This window comes from Homo sapiens, chromosome 4 (genome assembly GCF_000001405.40).
Source record: "Homo sapiens chromosome 4, GRCh38.p14 Primary Assembly".
NCBI classification, from domain to species: Eukaryota; Metazoa; Chordata; class Mammalia; order Primates; family Hominidae; genus Homo; species Homo sapiens.
This window is the reverse complement of record NC_000004.12, coordinates 42,627,274-42,647,366: the sequence shown is the minus strand read 5'-3', so window position 1 is coordinate 42,647,366 and position 20,093 is coordinate 42,627,274. Positions and strand designations below refer to the sequence as shown.

At 39.2% G+C, this 20,093-nt stretch overlaps 1 protein-coding gene across 11 annotated transcripts in view, besides 4 other annotated features; it reads left to right on the top strand.

Annotated features, from left to right (window-relative positions):
• ATP8A1 (ATPase phospholipid transporting 8A1) overlaps nt 1-20,093 on the top strand; it is a 248,733-nt gene that overhangs the window by 9,739 nt on the left and 218,901 nt on the right. The window lies entirely within an intron of this gene.
• Nucleotides 5,341-5,390: an enhancer, noted in NCBI's record as "active region_21521". NCBI's record gives its function as "activates an Ori minimal core promoter by ATAC-STARR-seq in GM12878 lymphoblastoid cells {active_cell/tissue: GM12878}" and the evidence as "EXISTENCE:reporter gene assay evidence [ECO:0000049][PMID:35858748]".
• Nucleotides 8,057-8,176: an enhancer, noted in NCBI's record as "active region_21520". NCBI's record gives its function as "activates an Ori minimal core promoter by ATAC-STARR-seq in GM12878 lymphoblastoid cells {active_cell/tissue: GM12878}" and the evidence as "EXISTENCE:reporter gene assay evidence [ECO:0000049][PMID:35858748]".
• Nucleotides 8,407-8,456: an enhancer, noted in NCBI's record as "active region_21519". NCBI's record gives its function as "activates an Ori minimal core promoter by ATAC-STARR-seq in GM12878 lymphoblastoid cells {active_cell/tissue: GM12878}" and the evidence as "EXISTENCE:reporter gene assay evidence [ECO:0000049][PMID:35858748]".
• Nucleotides 11,032-11,081: an enhancer, noted in NCBI's record as "active region_21518". NCBI's record gives its function as "activates an Ori minimal core promoter by ATAC-STARR-seq in GM12878 lymphoblastoid cells {active_cell/tissue: GM12878}" and the evidence as "EXISTENCE:reporter gene assay evidence [ECO:0000049][PMID:35858748]".

The following is a 20,093-nucleotide window of genomic DNA, read 5'->3' as shown; positions in this document are numbered from 1 at the left end:
ACTAGTGGCCACTGTATTGAACAGCATAGTTGTAAATTATACCTCTAGCATATGCTTACTTGTTAGGATTTACTAGAATTTTTCAGAATATAAAATTTTGTGATGGAAACCCATAGCTCAAAGTAAGCTTGTTAGAAATACATATGTAGATCTTGAGGTTTAAGTCTTCAGCTCCCTTCTTAACAACAGAAGGCAGTCACGTGTGTATAAAACTTCACACATTATATGGGTGCTTAGATAATACTGCCTTTGACTTGGCAGTTTAGAGGTTTTATGTAAGTACATTGTGGCATCTTTTGTAGCCTGTTTTGTTTCCAATTTTTTAATCTCTTATAAAATATATTTGATAAATAAAACACCCTGCCATGTCTTCCTATTCATTTTTATTTAAATGTTAGCATGAGATGTGAAGTAGATAAAACTCTTAAGTAGTATTCTTTTATGTACAATATCACCATCACTTGTGCTAAAGGGACAACTGTATAGAACTTGGCTTCATGGATTAATTAGACCTCTAATTGACTTGGCAAAGAGAGGTGTCTGTTTTAAATTGAGCCTCTGTTCATTATTTTATGTGAATTATCTTTAAAAGAGATGACTGATCTTGATCCATCTAGGGCTGTGCTTAATAATATCAGATTAGTTGAGTGACAGCTCAGAATGTCACTAAGAAGGCCAAAGCCAGCCTGGGTTCTGGACCAGAGCACCACTTTAGTGGGCCAGACCTGTTTAGAGTACAAGATTGGCCTTTGTGAGTGAAACAAGCAAACAATGGTATGCAGGGTTGAGTCAAAGAGATGGTTTGTTCTGATGCCAGCCTACACCAGTTCAGCTTCTGTAATTGACCTAGGTCCCTGTGGTTAATTCTGGTCCTGAAGTAAAGCTAACGTTGTATAAAACAAATCTTCCAGCTTCTACAGACCGTCTTTTTCCCGTGTCCCTTCCTCAATCCCACATAGATTTAGTCCCAAAAATCTTTAACGTCAACATTTGAAGAGCTCTGACTTAGCACTCTAAAGATGAGGCATGCACACCCTGTCACCACTTCCCTGACCCTGAGTGCCTGTCCCAGCAGCTTATAGAGCTCCAGGATGGGGGGGCCTGCCTTGCTCTTGGCAGGACAAGATGCTGGTTCCCAACCCTAGCTTGGACTCCAGTGCTCAGCATTTGTGAGCCGTTTTGATGCCACGCCAGGCCTACCAAGGTTTCTGAGTATCATTTGCTTTCACTTTACCCACAGTTGCTTTTGGCCAGCTCACCTGAACCCACATCGTTGCCCCATGCAGGAGATCTTTGGTTCTGAGTGTAGGTGTTGCCCATTTCCATTTGTCCTGGATCTGTCGCTCCACCATTGTATTGTTATTCCAGTGGCTGCGACTAGTTGGCCCTTTCCAGTTCCCTTCTAGTCTGTCTCACTCTACTTTTTTTTTTTTCTCTAACCTAGGCCATGTTCTGTCTCTGACCAAAGAAATGAGATGGGTCTAAGTTTTATCCAATCCTGGTGGCTGCTCTACATGTTAAGCTGGGTTCAGTCTACCATCTATGCCAGAATGGTTGTGATAAATATTCTCAGATGGACTTAAGTCAACTTTCCTAACTTTATTTTCATTGTCATGGGTAAATGTTAGAGAAATGACATGGGGAGGAATGTCTCTGCTATCTTTAATGAAAAGTGTGTCCAATGTGGACAGGGCAGTGGGAGGCTTGTGAAATGTAAATTGTTTTTATAGCCACATCGTGTGATGCTCAACCCTGGCTTCATAGTGAATTAGATAGGGAGCTTCTAAACAATACAGATTCCCAGACCCATCCCAGAACGATGGAATCAGTTGGTCTGTTCTATAGGGATAGGGACCAAGCATTAATATTTTATCTCCTAGGTAATTCTCATGTGCAGTGGTATTGAAAACACTGGTATACAACCTTGAATTTACTTGCTGGCAGAGAGGATGGGAATAAATTGTATACAACTATATAGGTTGCGAGCCAAGAAACCAAGAGTATTAGCTAGCCAAGTGATAGACAAGCAATTTACCCAAAATATTTACCAAAGAAAATCAATATTTTTGGTAAATTGTGTATCATCCAGTTAGCTAATAGGACTAATTATACTCCTCTTAATTTCCCCTCTCAGAAATGATCAAGGTCATACATTAATACTATTTATTAGGTTTTGAAGACTTTCTTTAAAATTCTGAATTGAACATTCAATTCAGTACAACTAAGTGAAGAGTACAACACATTTAGTTTATTTTTAGCTGGTGTTATATCTACTCTGGGAGCTTGTTCAATATGAGCTTTTCTGCAGTGTCATTACTAGTTTTTTGGTAACCTGCTTGCTTTTAGTATGTTGTAGTAATTAGTTGCTTTATTCAGCCTATATTTGTAGCCCAAATATTTAGTCATTTGCAGCTGAAAAAAATAGCATAATGACTTGGTAATAGTCTTTGAAATTTCTGTGGCAACTTTTTTTTTTTCAAGGAGTATATTTTCGTCAGTCTAGATTTATTGATTTATCCCATTATGACATGAAATAATCTTTTATAGGTTAACGTACAAAATGTGAAAACTCCCAATTTACCTGCCTTCCCTAATTGCTGAGATGAGGCCAATATTTGAGACTCTTTATTTGGCCATTGTGTTTCTCGGTGGCCGCTCTGATGGGCGCTGGGTTCTAGCTTTAGGATGCTGCTGGTGGCCACTGCCGGGTGGGAAGATTATCACTTGACGCTCTGGGGATTAGAAAAACACCATAGTACTGTAGATCAAGTGCATTGTGTCCAGCATTCGTGATTGCTGTTTATTTTATAGTTCTCATCTATCCTTATTTGTCTCTGCATTTAGACTTTCCTTTTATTAGGTGATAATGTGATTTGTACTTTGCAGATGGAAATTATTTTCAAAAGCCAGAATTTGATCTTGTAGAGGTTGGAAAGTTCTGAATTGTTGGCTCAATTTAACCCCAGATGGCAACTGATTTCTGTCTCTTCGTTTAACGTTCAGTAAGAGAATCATTACATGAGTTGGCCTTTTGTTGACTTCCAAGTGAATACAATTAGCAAAAGAAAAAACTCTCTTAATTTCCCCAGGTACCAAATTGAATCCCCCTTGAACTTATTAAGTGAATTTCCCGGTGGAATTTATCCCTGTGGTTGGTGAACCACTCTCCTATATATTTTCATTTTAACTAAGCCTTAATACGAAGGCCTTCAGTCTGAACTTAGTAGATTTCTTTATAGGTCAGATATTTTTCCATATGTTCAGCTAAAATTGACCTTTTAAACAAAAATTCATTGAAGCAAATAAATCACCATTGTTACTGTTTGTTTCATGTGTTTTTGGTCTGCTCAGTACCAGATGACACGGTAGCCACCTGCAAGTAGGGCTTTTTTGTTTTGTGACATAACTACGCTTGAAGCTATCTTTAACATCCTAAGCTAATGCCCTATAAATAATTGGCGAGAAAGTGAAACAAGGCACTGGGACTTCCTGTAGGCCTGGAGTGATATGTGTGTTCTGGCCCTTCAAAGCTGTGCGGCCTTGAGCATGTCACTTAACCTCTGTGAGACTCCTGTTTCTCTTTGATAAAGTGATAATACCTACCAGCGAATCATCTGCCTGTTGGATAGTGAGGAGACCAAGCCTGGCTACACACTGGAATCTCCCAAGGAGTTTTCAACACACTGACCCCTGGTCCCACCCCCAGGGATTCTGATTTCATCTTGGGGGTAAGGGTTGAAACAAGGAGAAATGATAGTGGCTTCAACTACTAAGCATCAGTGGACATGATGGGGAGTGGTCAAGATTCAGAATATAACTAGAAGATAGATCCAACAGATTTGTTGATGGCTAGGTTATGGAATTTTAAAAAAAGGAGTCAAAAATGACTAAAGTTTTGGGCCCTGAGCCCAAAACAGTGGTGCCATTTACCGAAATAGAAAACACTGGGATGAAGGAATGAAAACCAGCTTGCATCTTAGAAAGGAGTGAGAAAGTCCCATGTGTCAAAAATACATATGTTTGTAGACATTTATTTTATTCTCTTAGAGTATTGCATTCATCCTAAAATCTGGATTTCAGAATTTCCATCTTCTGTTTCCCTCATCTTCTTTTCTCTGAATATTCTTTAGAATTTCAGTAAATGCACCTGTTAGTGTAATACGTGTTCCCCATTGCTATGAATTTTAGGTATCTGGGAACTGTATGGATTTATTCTGTTTGGGATCGATAATTACATTGCCAGGACTTTTTGCTGCCCAGTCAGAGTTGATGAGAACAGTCTTTCACGTGATCACTGCGTTCTTTTGGCTCTTGAGGTGCTCCAAACTGCAGGGACATTTTCCAGAGTGGATATATTAAATGAAAGCACTTACTATAAAGTAGGTGCTAAGCAAATGTTTTTTGAATCTGCATCTGGTGAGTGACTGGGATAAGATCAGGCTGTTCAGATTTTGGAAACTGAACTTTTAAAAACGCTGGAGTGGTTTTGAAGTCTTCGTGGAGTTTTCTTATATTCATCTGTATGCCCATCACACCTTGCATGGCAGTGGTCACGGTATACCAGCAGGTCTAGGGAGCTAATTTCATGATTCTAATTAGTAGTAGTAGCATCTTGAGGTAAAATGTTGCATTAGGAGGTACTTACTGCATGGAGTGATTTTTATTTATGGCATTAGAAGGTTCTTGAAGCATTTGTTTCATCCACCCTCGCATCGTTTTTGTTCTACCTGTGGATTGAGTAGGGCGTGCGGCAATCTCACACATGTGTAGGTGTCATTGCTTTAATGTCACTGAGCAATGTGCTGGGTCTTTTCAGTCTTTGCAGCCCACCAGCTGTCATTCACACATCCTATCTTAATCTGTTTAGTGGAGGTTTCTGTCGTCTTCTTTAGCTACATCCTGACAAACTGAAGGATGCCGACCATTCCTTACTTTGTTTTGTGAAAATGATTCTTGGCTTTTTGAGCCAGTCTCATCTGACCAGTCTTAGTGGGTTCTTCAGTACTGCCCACAGTGCTTGTGGTAGATGAGCCATCCCAGAGCCACACCCATTCTCAGAGTCTCGTTAGGGTGTGCTGGAGTTCTTGGATGCTCTTTTGTGGGTTTCCTCTTTTTCTAGCTTTGTTTAATGGATTTGTTGGATATTTGGCAAACCTGGTTGTGGCATTGTGTTATCAACAGGCAGATGAGAGTGTCACACTTTCCTTATCCTGGGTAATGTCTGTTTCTGTAGGATAAAACACTTGTCTTGTTTGTGGACAGTGTATGTTGCTGTGTGTGCTATACTGATGTCCCTACCAAAGTTGTAATGGGCAGGAAGACTTTAGTTTCTTCACTGGATGTTTTTGATGATTGAGACTTTGTTTAAAAAAAAAAACAAAGGTGAGTTGTTTTCCTCTCTTGCAAAGTCACAATGGAGATAAGAAGCAGGTGCCAGTTAAACTCCACTGACTCATTCTGAGATTAATGTAGCAGCATAATGATGTTATTTGGGTGTTTCTGCTTCTTGTAATAAAACGAGGACTAGTCTGTTGGAACTAATCATATATCTACCTGTTTGTATGTTATAAAATGTGTAAATAGCTCTAAAAGTTAAAGTTGTAATGATTCAGATAACTTTCATCATTGTTCATTCATTTTTTTCCCCAGTACTTTTTAAGGCCTAGCTCATTCAGAGCTGTAATTCAGTTCTATCTTCCTATGAACACACTGCTACTGAAGTCAATGGGGTTAACTATCCTACAAGCATTTGTAGTAACTAATTTAATAATACTCTTTTCCATGTACAAAATGCGGAAAACTTGCGCCCTGCACTGTATCAGTGGTTCTCTCAATAAGCTTATAGTTGTCTTAAAAAAAAAAAAGAAATTTAAAAGGATAGAATCCTTGGATTCTAGAGTTGGAAGGGAACTTAGAAGTCATTTAATGCAACACAGTAACTGATATGGCTTGAATACCTCACAGTGAAGGGAACACACCCACACACACCCTTTTAAGACAGCCCATTCCATTCTCAGACACCTCAGATTTTTTCTTGATAAGAAAGCAATAAAAGCAGTAAAAACATTTATGCTCTACATGCCTTGCTGGGTCAGGTGTCTCCCATATTGTATTTACACAGTTGCTTCTTTAGGCCTTTAGTATAGAACCTTCAACTTATTCAGCCTTTCAAAATCTTCTAGAATTCTGATTTTTTTCATGTCATCTGTACATTGATTAATCGTGTCATGTGTCCTTATCCTGTCATTGGAACCCAGGCAGTCTGCACCCAGAGCCCTTACCAAGTTAGGCATTTACTGTAAGGGATCCTCTTGTATCACAGCAGAGGTTCATTGTTCTTTTTTTTTTTTTTTTTTCTGGTGAGGGGGAAGTCTCTGTACGTCTGCTCCTTCACTTCCTAACTTTGGCATGCATGTGGCTTCAGAGTGCCATGATGCTCCCTCCAGCCCACCTGTCCGTGATGTTCCTTACTTGGTGCTGAGTTGACTGACCACAAATCCACATTCTCTAAAAGGGATCTGACTGGCCTGGCTGGTCAGGTGCTCCATGTTGACCCTGACACCTAGGGCTCAGGTACTAGGCCAGGCCAGGAGATGGAAGGAGAGACCGAGTCCAAGGGTGACCCAGGGGAGGCTCTTTCAGAAGGGCTCACAGGCAGGGATGGCCAAAGAATAGCTTTAGTATGTGAGACCCCTCCATGTATGTTTGTCAGCTACATAGTTGTGAATCCACATTGTTTCATAATCATGGAATCGTGTGTCTTCATTTATAACAATAGGGCCTACACAAAAGCCTTCTTGAAATCCAGATGCTGAGGGTTCTATTTTTGAAAAGAAAGAAAAGGGATTTAGTCAGTGGAGGCTTACTGATCCCCACCAGTCACCACCTCCCTTTTAAGCAGTCTGTTAATCAGCTGCACTTAATGTTTGACTAGCATTGGCCTCAAACTCATTGGCCAATAGCATTATTATTCAGACTTATCTAATGTAAAGGACCTTTTTTAGAGGAAACATTTCTTTTTGGTCTTTGAGAATATATTCTTTGTATGAGAAACACTGCTTTCAAAATAATTAAGCTCAGTTCCATGTTTAACTGAATTCTCAGAAATGTTCTTTTAACTTCTGAATTTTCAGATCTTTCCCAAAAATCCTTTAGAAGCAGTGGATCTCATTTTGTAAATCTGTGAACTTTGAAAGCACATCTGTAGACTCCCATTTTAAAAAACAGTGGTTTATGATCTTTATGATCCATCTTCTTTTTAGAACACTGGGAGAGTGCAGGTGGCCCTCCTTATCCCTGAGTTTCACGTCCATGGATTCAGCCAATCATGGATCAAAAGTATTCAGAAAAAATTCCATAGAGTTTCAAAAAGCAAAACTTCAATTTGCCACACACCAAGTACTATGTTGAATCCATGCAAATGACGTGTAGGCATTGTGTTAGGTATTATAAGTAATCGAGAGATGATTTAAAATATACAAGAGGATGTGTGTAGGTTATTTGAAATACTACATCACTTTATATAAGGTAATTGAGCATCTGCAGATTTGGTAAGGGGTCTTGGAACCAATCCCCCATGCATACTGAACGATGACTAAATTGTCTTCATCTTTTAGTTCCTCTCTCATTCACCATAGTTCTTCTCTGATTAGTAACAGTTCACTTAACTATTTTGCAGGTTCTCACAGTTCTGTAGGTTAGAAAATAATTATATATACCTACACATACATATATGTATTTACTATAGGCTAGGAATTCATTTAGAGCAGTTAGGTGCTGATTTTTCTTTTTTTCCCTCTTAAAATAATCCCCTACCTTGTCTTTTGGTTTAGTTCTTCGAACTAATGTTCATTCTAACCTTTCCAGTCTTAAGATGATTATCCTTGATAGACGATTGAAGCAAAGTAGATGTTGGAGCTGAGAAGTTCTGCCTTTTATTATCTGTTAACAACATTGTATCATCTATTCTAGGCAGCAGGCTCATCTCATCAATTCTTTGTGTCCCAGATGAAAGGGGGAAAAATCGAGTGGTCTCTAACGTTTTTTACAACACCTTTCCTCCAGTCTCAGATGTCTGTGCATCTGTTAATATTCACTGTTGAACATGTGAACCTATCTATTTTCAACCTTTCCTGTGATCTTTTTTTAATCTTGTGCTTGTTCAAGTACTTCCTGTGAAGCAGCAGTGGTCTCTAAATACAACTCCTTCAACCCTCCCTGACCACCTCCCCGCCTTGTCAGGGCCTTCCACAATTACTCAGCATGTGGGTTTGGACAGCTGTTGGGGCTTCTGCACTTTGTGGGTCTTGATAATAAATTGAAATGTGCCCTCCTGAAATCCAGAATACATATCTGACATGGCCTGGTATTCCCCTTTGACAGTCAAAAACTCTTTGATACAGTTATTTTTTGAAGAGTATCATTACTACTTTACCACTTTTGCTTGGATTAGAATCCAGTCCGTAGTGTCAGTCTGCCTTGTTTCCTGTGCATTTTTAGAGGTGAACTTAATGCCACTGCAAGTCAGTGGTGCTTTAAGCTAATTGAGACTTCTAGGAGATGCTTGGTAGATGTCTGGTGGTTGCAACCCCTCGTTTCTGGTGCAGTCTGCTTCTGTGTCAATTTTTAAACATCTATGTTGGCAAATATACTATTTAATTCTTCTGTCAGATAAAGTTATCTGTGGGTTATTCCCAAGGAGATGTCATTAAATTCCTTCTGTCTTTCATTGTTCTGGTTCCTTTTCCAGTTAAGCATGAAATGGCGTTAGTAAATGTTTTATTATTTCCAAGCAATTCAGCATGCCGAAGATGACTATTATTTTAGGTTAATATCCAAGGCTGGCTGCCAACAAGATTGACTGTTTACTATGTGTGACGCCCAACTCTAGGCATACTATAGATTTCCTTGTAATACTGCTTAAGGATATCCTTTCTTCTGAATGTCAGGAGTACTCTTTAGAATCCACCACTTAGAATTTGTAGTGCTACTTCAGGGGCTTGTCGCAATTTAGCGTGAGTTCAAGAAATGTTAAGCCATTACTTTTTTTCCTTTTTTAGACAATAACTGCTGTGGTGTGTTTTACACTTGTTTATTTTTAAATCAATTCCCTCAAAGGCACTTAAAGAAACATGTCATTTACCATGTCTCCTAATGACAGGTCCTGATGACAAAATATATTAGTGGTTATTAGGATAGAGACAAGACTATAAATTTCTGGGAATTTTTGGATGCCTTATATTGAAATAGAAAATTTAGCAAACATTTAGTGCACAGAAGGGACTTTCCTGAAGGGTCATTCATGTTACTTCCCCATATTAGAGTAGCATACTTAATAGATACTTACCCATACCCTTGTGCCTGTCCCATCCTCTGTACATAAGCATGCATAGCATTTATTATTATTGAACTAAGCATATAGCTCAAAAGATTAGTGTCAGATGTATGATGGTCTTTTACATAGACAATATATTCAAAACTTTTGTAGGTATCCCTTCAAAGAAGAATGGCCAAGGAGAGTATTTTGACACTTAAGTAGCATCCAACAAGGCTGAAGGGGTAGAGAAATGTCTGAACTGGAAATACTGTTGAGGTGTAATAGACCAGCAAAGGACAGAGTTAAAGGGAGAGGTGAGGTCAAATTTAATTGTTGAATGAATGCATGAATCTATCTATCAGTGTCAGAGCTTTAGATATGGGTTGGACTTTATCAGTTTCCAAATGTTGTCTTGCCTTTGGTGCTCAGTGACTCTCTAACCTTGAGCAAGTCTCCATATGACAAGTGATGTCTCCTAATCTTCATTTTTAGAACTCTTTTAAAAAGTGAACCCTTTTGTATAATGAAAAGCTATCAATTGTTGAAGGAGATAACCATGTTTTACATGATCAAGGGTATGTAATGTTTGTTATAACTCAGATGGACTTGGAGGTAATGAGCTAGCATCACAGTTGCATGAACAAGAGGGTGATGGAGAAGAAGGTAGGGATGTGGAAAACCGTTTGGCTATTGTGCAAGTTCCTTAGAGTTGCAATCCACAGTTGTCCCAGAACGTGCTGGACTCAGAGCTTGTTTAGGGCAGCTGTTAACATCAGAAGAGATCTGATCCAGCAAGTAGGGCCTGTTGGGGAAGGTTCCAGGTAGCCTGCTTATTCTTAAGCAGGAAAATTGCACTGTGGTTCCAGGTCATCATTCCATGTTGATCAGAAAAGCCAGCTAGCGGTTGAGGTACAGGGAACAGGGCTTAGCTTCTTGTAGAAGGCTAGCCAGTCTGGGTAGGGCATCACTGCCCACCTACATTAGATGGGTGTTGGGACAGGACTTGGCTTCCAACAGAGGACTGAAATGATTCTGTCAAGACTCCATAATATATAGGCTGAGCATATCCTTTAAGCGGGTGGAGTAGCTCCTGGAATCACATGAAACGCTTAGAGAAAGGTTGAGGAGGATCTAAGGCAGCTTGACTAATACCACAGATTCATTCCTGTCTGTGTTCAGCCTTTTCATCTCTCCAGATGGCAAATTGACTGACTGGCTTAGCCTGGACTGTGTGCTGACTTTTAAGTCAATGAGGAGCATGGAGCCTTGATGGAGCAGTCCCCTAAGACTCTGGGGGAGGGGTTCTCCAAAGGAAAGCAATGGGCTGTTTCCAGGAGAAGCAGATGCCGAGCTGGAAAGAGCAGATTGTCCACTGCACAGAGTCTGCATTAACACTCGGTACAGGGATGGTGTATTAATGCAACTGAAAATTCCATTTTTCCTCTGGCTACTGTTGTCATGATCTAGAAATTTGAGAGGTATTGCTAAATAGTTTCCATTTTAATTTCCATGCTTTTAAGGGTGTTTGATTTCTTCAGTGCCATATTTGAAAATGTGGTTTGTAAGTCTTTACCTTTGAAGCACCCAGTTTATTGTTTCCAGAGTAGTGGTTCCTTCTTTTCATGAGCTCTCTCTCTCTCTCTCCCCCTACCCGTCTCTGAACAGCTGCTGTCAGGCTCACAATCGAACATTTGAAGTGACTGTTCTGCTCTAACAATGCAGAACATGGGATTTCAAGCCTCTTTTGTCACTGCAGTAATTGCTTCTGCATTTATAATTAAATGAACTATCTGTACTAAGATACCACTAAAAACAAAGTAAATACAAACATCTTAATTATTCAGCCAAGAATTGTTTTGATCCAGCTTAAGAAGCTTATGTGTGTGTGTGTGCGTGTGTGTGTGTGTGTGTGTGTGTGTGTGTGTGTGTGTATTAAGCCCATTGCTTTCCTTTGGAGAACTCCCCCTTCCCCCATAGTCTTAGGGGACTGCTCCATCAAGTTACCATGCCCCTCTTTGACTTAAAAGTAAGCACATGGCCCATGCTAAGCCAATCACAGTCAATTTGCCATCTGGAGAGATGAAAAGGCTGAACACAGAGAGGACTGAATCTGTGGTATCTTGAACTGATTCCATTAGTCAAGCTGCCTTAGATCTTCCTCAACCTTTCTGTAAGCTTTTCATGTGCTTCCAGGAGCTGCTGCACCTGCTTAAGAAGCTTACATACATACATACATGTGTATATATATATATATATATATATATATATGTGTGTGTGTGTGTGTGTGTGTGTGTGTATATATATGTATATATGTGTGTATGTATATATTCTTAAGCTTCTGTATCAAAACAATATATACAAATACATATGTGTGCATATATATATTCAGGACTTTCAATTATTAAGCCTTTGAAAAGGATAGTGGTTAATGCTAATAATTCCATCTTAGTAGTACCTAACTTTAATCACACCTAAGTTCTGCAGTTGTGCTTGTAAAGTCTCTGTCTAGTTTCCCTGTTAATATTCTTTTATTAGATTCTTTGACTGTTGCAAGCATGACTGCTTGTTTAATGACCCCAACCTAAGTCAAGAAACTTGAGCAGCTAATATGGTCCCTTTAATGCCTAATATTGGAAACCATTGAGTGAAAGGTTATATAATTGCACTCTCCTAAATATGTTTAGGAAATAATATAATAGATATTCTGATTCCAATTACAGCCTTACTTATAATTGCAATAAAGTTGAGTCTGCAAAAAACTTAGTGGTTCTATAACCGTATTACCAGGCAACAGTGATTTTGTATCTTGTTCTTGTCTCCCTCCTACCTACCACCCCTGCATTTCTGTTGCATAACCCCATACAGATGACAATTTTGTTAAAAAAAAAAGTACTCAATATTAATTGACCAAATTATATGGCAAAATTTATTATTTTGCTGTCTATATTGATTTACACTGGTCACAACTATAAATATTATCCAAAATAAGTAAATGTTAATACCTACATTACAGTCTTTAAGACTTTTAGTTTTCCCGTATCAAGTATTTTGAAGGCGAGATTAATCTGTGGGGAGGATAGGGTGACGGGAACTGTTTGAATGACAAGTATTGTGCTACATTGCTAACATAATGTCATCCTCACATTAACCATATTTTATGGATGAGGAAGCTGAGACTCAGATGATAAAATAATTTGCCCATGTAGAAGTGTTATAATCTGAATTTGAACATACATCTGACTACATAGCCTATTTATTTTCTCCCATAGTATGCCTTTCTGATTTCATAATAAAAATAATAGCTAGAATTTTTGCATATGCATGAGGAGCCAGGCACTTTACACATGCATTATTTCATGTAATCCCCACAAACTCTTGTAAGAGCGTAGGTAGCTAAAGGTTAATTATCTTGTCTAAAGTAACCAGAGCTCATAACTGGTAGACCTAAACAGTCTCTCTCATTCTTAGGCATGATTCTTTAATGCCCTCCTTGATTATATTCTGTATTTTAAACATTATTGATTACCATGTAATAATGAGAAAAAGGATGCATGGTATCTAAGGATTAGGGTTGTTTGGCTGTAAAGAGAATTCTATTCATTAAGTGGTTAATTATTTGTTGTATTTACAATCCTACAATAAAGTAATGGGCAAAATTAATTTGAACAATACATGTAACCCAACACATCCAAAATATTGTAAATTTAGCATGTGATCAAAATAAAACATTATGGGTCAGATTTTTAAAAATCCTACATTTCTTTCATGTCTTGGGCTTTTGCGTGGAGTAGCACCAGGCAGTAGTACTATGGAGCATCATGCAATCATGAAGAGGTTATATGGCTCATGCCAGCTCTGCCTCCAGAGTATAATGTATGCATCCACTTCCTTTCATCTCTGTCACCAGTCTAACCCAGGACTCATCATCTTTTACCTGGATTATCACAGTGTCCTCGAAATGGTCTTTCTACTTAAACCTGTCAGTGAATTCCTACTGCATAAAGAATATAAATTCAGGCTGTTATTCTCCCAATCTGGCCCTGCTTCTTTTTGTTTTATGCTCTGTTTACTGTTAGTGGCCCTCATGTTCCTGGAAATGCCAAGCTCATTCTCCCCTCCAGGGCTTTTCCTGCTATTCCCCCTTTTGGGTTGACAACTGTCCCTTATCTTCCTTTATGTGTCATCAAGGTCTCAACTCAGCATCTCCTTGAGACGTCTTCTCTGACCATTCAGTGTAAAATAGCAGCAGCTATAGTAGCATCACTAGCAGTGATAACAACAACAATGAAAATAGCTCACATTCATTACTAAACTCTTACTACGTGCCAGGCATTGTTCTCATATTTACTCGCTGGGTCCTTACAACCACCCTTTGAGGTAAGATACTGTTATTAGTTCTATTATATGCATAATGAAACTTAAGCACAGAGACTTCTGTCAATTGTTCTACAATCACTTGTTTATTTTCTTCCTCATTCTTACCATGTTCTGTAATTATCTTTTTCTTCTCTAGAAAATAAGTCCCTGAGAAAGAGGACCTTATCTTATTTCCTGCTATTTCTATAACATTTTTAAAATGCCCAAAACATAGTAGATTCTTAAGTATGTTGAATGAATGAATAAGCAAATGAATGAACAACAGGTCTTATTAGATCATGATATTTCGGATGAAAAATGGAATATTTCAGAAATGATACTTCTCTCATATGAGCAGGTCAGAAGCCTTTCACTTATACTATTGAGCATTTTCCTCTGTTACATTGTACTGTGTGCATATAAGCATGTGATGATGAATCTGGGCAGATGAAGAAAGGAAGACTCTGTGTCGTCATTCTCAGCAACCCAGTAGTCACTGATCAGTAGGTGCCAGGTAGTTGTTGGCAACTGATTATAGTCACTGCTTAGCTTTTCAAATATGGATGTTGAGTTACCATCACAAAGCACCATTTCACTTCGTGACTGAGTTTTGGCTGCAGATTAAGGAAGGCAACTGTTGCTGTGAAACATCTCAATAAAGGCTCAAGAAGGGAAATTTTTTTTACTTTGTTTTTCAGAATTTTCCTGCTCTTCTGAACAAAACTATTGATTTCTTTTCTGCCTGCTGCTCAGCAGATATTAATTTCACAGAATTTTAGAGCTGAGAGTAACTGTCAGATTATTAGCCTAGCCTGGCTTCCCCATTTTACAAAGGAAGAGAATAACCCCCAGGGATGAAGTGGTTTGTGCAGGGTCATGTGGGTAATTGGTAGAAGAACTTGAGCTCACCTCACAGCCCCTAAGTGGGTTAAGTGATGAAACACTGTTCGGGGAAGATGAGCACTTGCTCACTTCAGAGTCATAATTAGGATAGTGACCCACCAGCATCCTTTGTTTTCTTGACAAATAAAATTATTGCTGGAAGCTAAAATAGTCACCAGAAGGATGTTGCTTGTATATTTTTATTTGGTAATACAAAGTAATCTTATTAACATATTCAGTAGTTAAAAGTTACATGTGACTATTCCCTATACTGAAATTCTTGGTCCTTCTGAAGTTTAGAAATAGCATTTGGCCATTTTACGACCAAGAATGCAAAATTTGGCCTCTTAGAGTCTCTGGTTTAAAATATGCATAGCAAATACTGGATAATTTTATTATTGCTTGAGATAAACCACAATTCAGAAAACAAAATTGCTTTTCTGCTGGCAGGGGGAATAGGAATCAAGCAGAATATTACAGACATTATTTGGCATAAATAAGGAAAAGTCTTTTCCTTGCTCATTTCAATAAAAGCTAGACCAGATTCATTTTTCTGGGAACTGGTTTGATTCTGACCGTTTTTAAGAAGTTACAGACCTTGGAGAACACAATGTTGAAAGAAGCTAAGATTTCCCAGAAGCTGCTATACAAATGTGCTTTCATACATAGAAAAGGATCCTTGCTCAGTTCCATTCCTCAAAGTGATAGGTGTATGAATTTGCCTGCCAATTTGCTCTGTGAAACTTAATTTAAGAAGACTAATAATGCCATTAGTGGATGTCAAATGTCTGAGCACCAAGGACATTGGGGTGAATGCCTGAGTTAGTCTCTTGGAGAATCGAAAATGTGAGGAAGGCGCATATATCTGGTGTTACTATCATCATTTACTTTGTGTGTCTGTACTTGTGGGCCATTTTGAGATGTCTCCAACAACTTGGAAATTTGCGAATTGAGTATACCTTCTCGTTTCTTTCTAAGACTAACATATACAGGAGCAAAGTCACCTGCAAGGGGGCTAGATTGGTTCCTAGGCCTACAGGATTTGGTAATCCCATTGGAAGATTAAATATCAATTTGTGTTCGAAGGTGGAAATGGGTATGGAGATGGTCAAGGAAGGGGTAAGTCATGGGGTTAAACATTATCAGCACTCTTCTCAGCTCTGCAGAAGGGAATAGAAGCATTAGCCAACAGACTTGAAGTATCATGGCCTCATTGTCAAGATATTGCAACAAACTTTTAAGAGGTTGGTCCTACAGATGCATCTACCCCTTTAGCAGGATTGGTTGCATCAGGCTGTACTTCCCTAATGCTATGAGAGTCTCAGTTCACCTAACCACTGGTGGGTGGGTTACTTTGGTCATTTAACTTCTACACAGGCCAATCTGGGAGAGTTGAATTGATTATGGAACTTCAGTTACTCTAGTTCCTGTGGCAATTACTTCTCATCATAAATTTACTAATTGTTGTTTGGACATCAGTCCTACAGGCTTGGGCAACATATGTCTACTTGAAAGAGATCTGTTTCTAGTATATTACTAATCTGGTTTTGCTCACTTGTTAATTCATCAGGCTTTGAGGGCTTACTATGAACCAGAGGTATAATAGGTAACTTACCATGTAACAAGGGAAGCAGGTGAATTGTCAGTTACACCACAAGGTAGAGAATTACCACCCCAAAACATTCTTCAACCTCTAACCCAGAAGCCGCCTCCCATTTTTATGAGGCTCAGCCTATGACTGTATCATTATTCACCCTGTTAGCTCTTTAAGTATAATAGACATTTACAATATCTATTACATTTATTGTAATACAAATTACATGTATTGTAATCTATTACAATATTAGGTGTTTTAAGTACATTGCATACATATTCCTTCATTTACTACCAACTATTCCAGGACATGAACACAGAATACTTCTCTTTGACAGATTAGGAAACTGAAGCCTAGTGAAAGTAAGTAACTATCTAAGGTCATGTTTTATTCTTGGCTTTGCCATTTACCAAATACTGTTCATTCGACTATACTTAATACGGAGTTCAAACCCATTGCATGGTGGGCTTCAGAGTTCAGTCTGAACCCAGAGAAAATGGGTGGGGCACTGAGTGGATCTCAGAAGCAGTCTGTTGAATGTCTTGAAGTCCATTTCCGTTAAATAGGTGAGTATTGTATGTCCTCTTTGCACAAGATTGTGCTAGGAAAAGCTGAGAGAGATACCAAAGAGCATGATTAAGATGCGTTTCTTTCTCTCAGTAAAGTTCACCTTTAGCATGACTTTACAGACAAAGAAGGCTTCTGAAGGCCTGACCTACCAGGAAGACTCAGAACTGTTACCAGATCAAGAACGGCACTCGCCTTCCCCTTGCTTTCTGTGAGGGGATGACATAAAAGCGTCAGAGTTTTCAGTAGTCCTTAGGAGTTCAGACAGGTGGATTAAAAGCTACTAGTAAATTTTAATGACTTATGTGAACGAACCCTCTAAATTATTAAACAGCAAGGGACATGGGTTCCTTCCTTAAAACGAGGAATAGAACTCCATGTATAAGAAGGAATACCATCTTAGTTTGACCCTCTTTGGGGCAGGGTGGTAAAGGATTCTCCTATTTTGATTGCCTTTGTCACCATTCTAATAGCTCAGCTTAGGCATTGCCCAGGTATGCACATGTAGCTCTTTATGTGGTTATTATAGCTGATGAAGGTGGTGATATGCAGAGGAAATAAAAAAATGAAATCATAAAATAGAATTATCTGGTGCATATTGAATAACTTTCAATTTTGAATGTAGCAAATGTGTTTTCACCTTTAACCCAGAGCTGTGAGATCAAAATTGCTACCTACCTTCCTCAAAGTGTTGGTTCATTAATCAAATGGAAGAGTCCGTTTCTCTTTACATGGAAAGAGTCTGGATTGACAGGTTACTTACGTTAAGTCCAGACCTAAGTTGCCCATTTCTGCAATGTAAGATGATTGCATTGAAGAGTTTAATTATAATGGTTACAAACTCTCACTTCCAAATTAGCAAAAATGCTAGTCTTTTTCCCAGGTACCTTCATCAGAATATTCCTGAGGATCTCTGAGGTCAAGTATGTTCACTGAGATATTTCTGAGAACCTCTGAGGTTGCTGTGCCTGTTTACTGCTAGCTTGCTGTCACCTGCTAGGAGTAAACAGAATTGGATACATAACAGAAGGTGATACCTGCAATCTCTGGCCTTCAAACATTCTGGGAGTGGGCTTCAGGTGCCTGATGGCTCTCCATGTCACTGCTGAGGAGACAGGGGAGAGGTGCCTACCAGCTCCACTGGCTGAGAGCCTCACTCCCTGCTTTCAGTGCAGATCTCCCTTCCTCAGTATCACACCTGGTCAGGGCACAACAGAGCGAAGCGTTCTGCATACATTCAGCTTCATGTACAATATCTTTCCAAAGCTTTTCTGTAATGCCTGGGTAAAGAAAGCCTATGTTGTCTGTGAAATCCTGTGCTCAGAGCCATCCAGTCTCTTCGATGGTCCTACCCCTGGCAACAGTTTACAGTTTAGATTTTCCCCTTCATTTTGGTGAGTTTTCTCTTTAAAGATCCCTTATTATCTGACCTAGGTTGGGCCCCTACTAATCCATTAGGATTGTTTTAATTACTCTGATTCCCACATAAGGGATGGGGTTAATTCCAGTCCCTTTAGTTCAAGGAAAATCCTTTGCCCCACAGAAATTCTTGAATACAAGTTAATATCTGAGGGGGAGATGCAGTATCCAATTGCTTTCAGTGGATAGCAATATCCAGTGCTCTCCCAGCAGCGTTTGAGACCTCAATGTAAGTAGGTGTGTCTGGATGGAGTAACACCCAGTTCCTCAGCTAAGGACATCCAAGGGCGGGGCCCTCAAAAGTCCCATTACATAAAGTAGATACAACACTCAAAAGTCCATTATATAAAGTAAATACAACACAACCTGAGAACATCAGCTCAGAGTGGAGTGAAGAGCTGGTTTTTTTGAGGCTCTCTCTCTAATCCAGAGGCGGGGAACAGCACACTCTGGTCTTCATGCTACCACGAAGGAAGACCTAATAAAGGACTCAATTTTTTTTAAAGATTGATCTCCCTCTATTCAATAACCCATGTGTGAAATTTCAATTATACAAAACTAGAGGGAAAAGTATGTGTTTAGAACATGGTGTAGGGAAACACTGTGAGCAAAGCTGCTGATTGGGTCTGAAACTGCAAAATGGGTGTGACAGAATCTACTCGGAGCCATGTGACCTCCAGGGTGATAAGGATACAATGTGCCTCTCACCCTGTGCCCCTCCTACTTGGAAAGCTTTCAGTGGTTGGCTGCCAAGCAGAGCGCAGGGTCCTCTGGGACCTGGCCTGCGTGCTTCCTCAGCGTGGTTTCTCGTCCGCCTTCTGTCTGTGCTCCAGCAGCACTGCCCTGTTTGCTCTCCCCTGCACACATGACACCGTTTCTCACACCCCAGTCCCTGTGCTCATGCTTCTCACCTTTGTAGAACACCTCAGTGATTTTCTGGTTTCATACTATAACAAACCCCACAGGCCAGCTTTTCACATAGTTGTTACCAGCACTTGGCCAACAGTTGTTTTTTCATCAGTGGGTGGAGCAGCTTTTCTTGCCCCCAAAAAACAGTCAACCACTCATTTTTCATTGGGTATATGTATTCGGCAAACATTGGGTACCTGCTGTTTGTTGGCACTGGTGTTGAGAAGATGAATAACACACCCTCTATGGCCCTAGGGAGTTCCCATTCTGGTAGGGGGAACCTGACTCAGGCAGCAACAAAACCTTCTGGTAAGTGTTTTGCTGAAGAGTGGGGAGGTTCAGAGGGCTGTGGAAACCCAAAGACGTTTTACCTAACTTGAACATCATAGAACACTTCAGAAGAAACCACATGTCAGCAGGTCTTATGGGAGGAGTTGGCATTGGCTAGGCAGAAAAGAGAAGAAAAATGGGTTTTGGAGATACAGTACTGTTGTCACCCCTTTGATTTTTCACTAGAAGACACAAAAAGCTGTTTAAAATACTATCTGTTGATATTCTGTTCTAGAACTTGTATGTATTTTTTAAAGTGTTTGTCAACATTGCAACAAAGTACCCAGTTGAATGTATCCTGTTGTTTCAATGATTATGAGATGACTTGAAGTGCTCTTGAGAAATTTAAAGTTCGTTTGTGAACATGAATTCTAACTGGAGAAAAAAATAGGTGATGATAGTGAGTTGGATCATTGTTGCAGTTCTCTATTTAAACCTTACTATTTATCTTTTCTTCTGTCTTCATCTGGGAAAAAACCCAGAAAAGTATTAAATGCATATGCTTTAATTTTTGACTATATTTTAAATTACCTTGTTAGTTTTACCTAAAACTGTAATTTAAACCAGTTTAAAATTAAGGTTTACTTCTGGGCATCTTTTTATATAGTGGAAGGAAAGAAGTTGAACACTTACGGGGGAAATGGAAAGTTGATGTTATGTCTTGTTTTTGATATGGCTCAGTTTTTACATGACTGTTAAATGCTGCCCTTTAAATCTAGT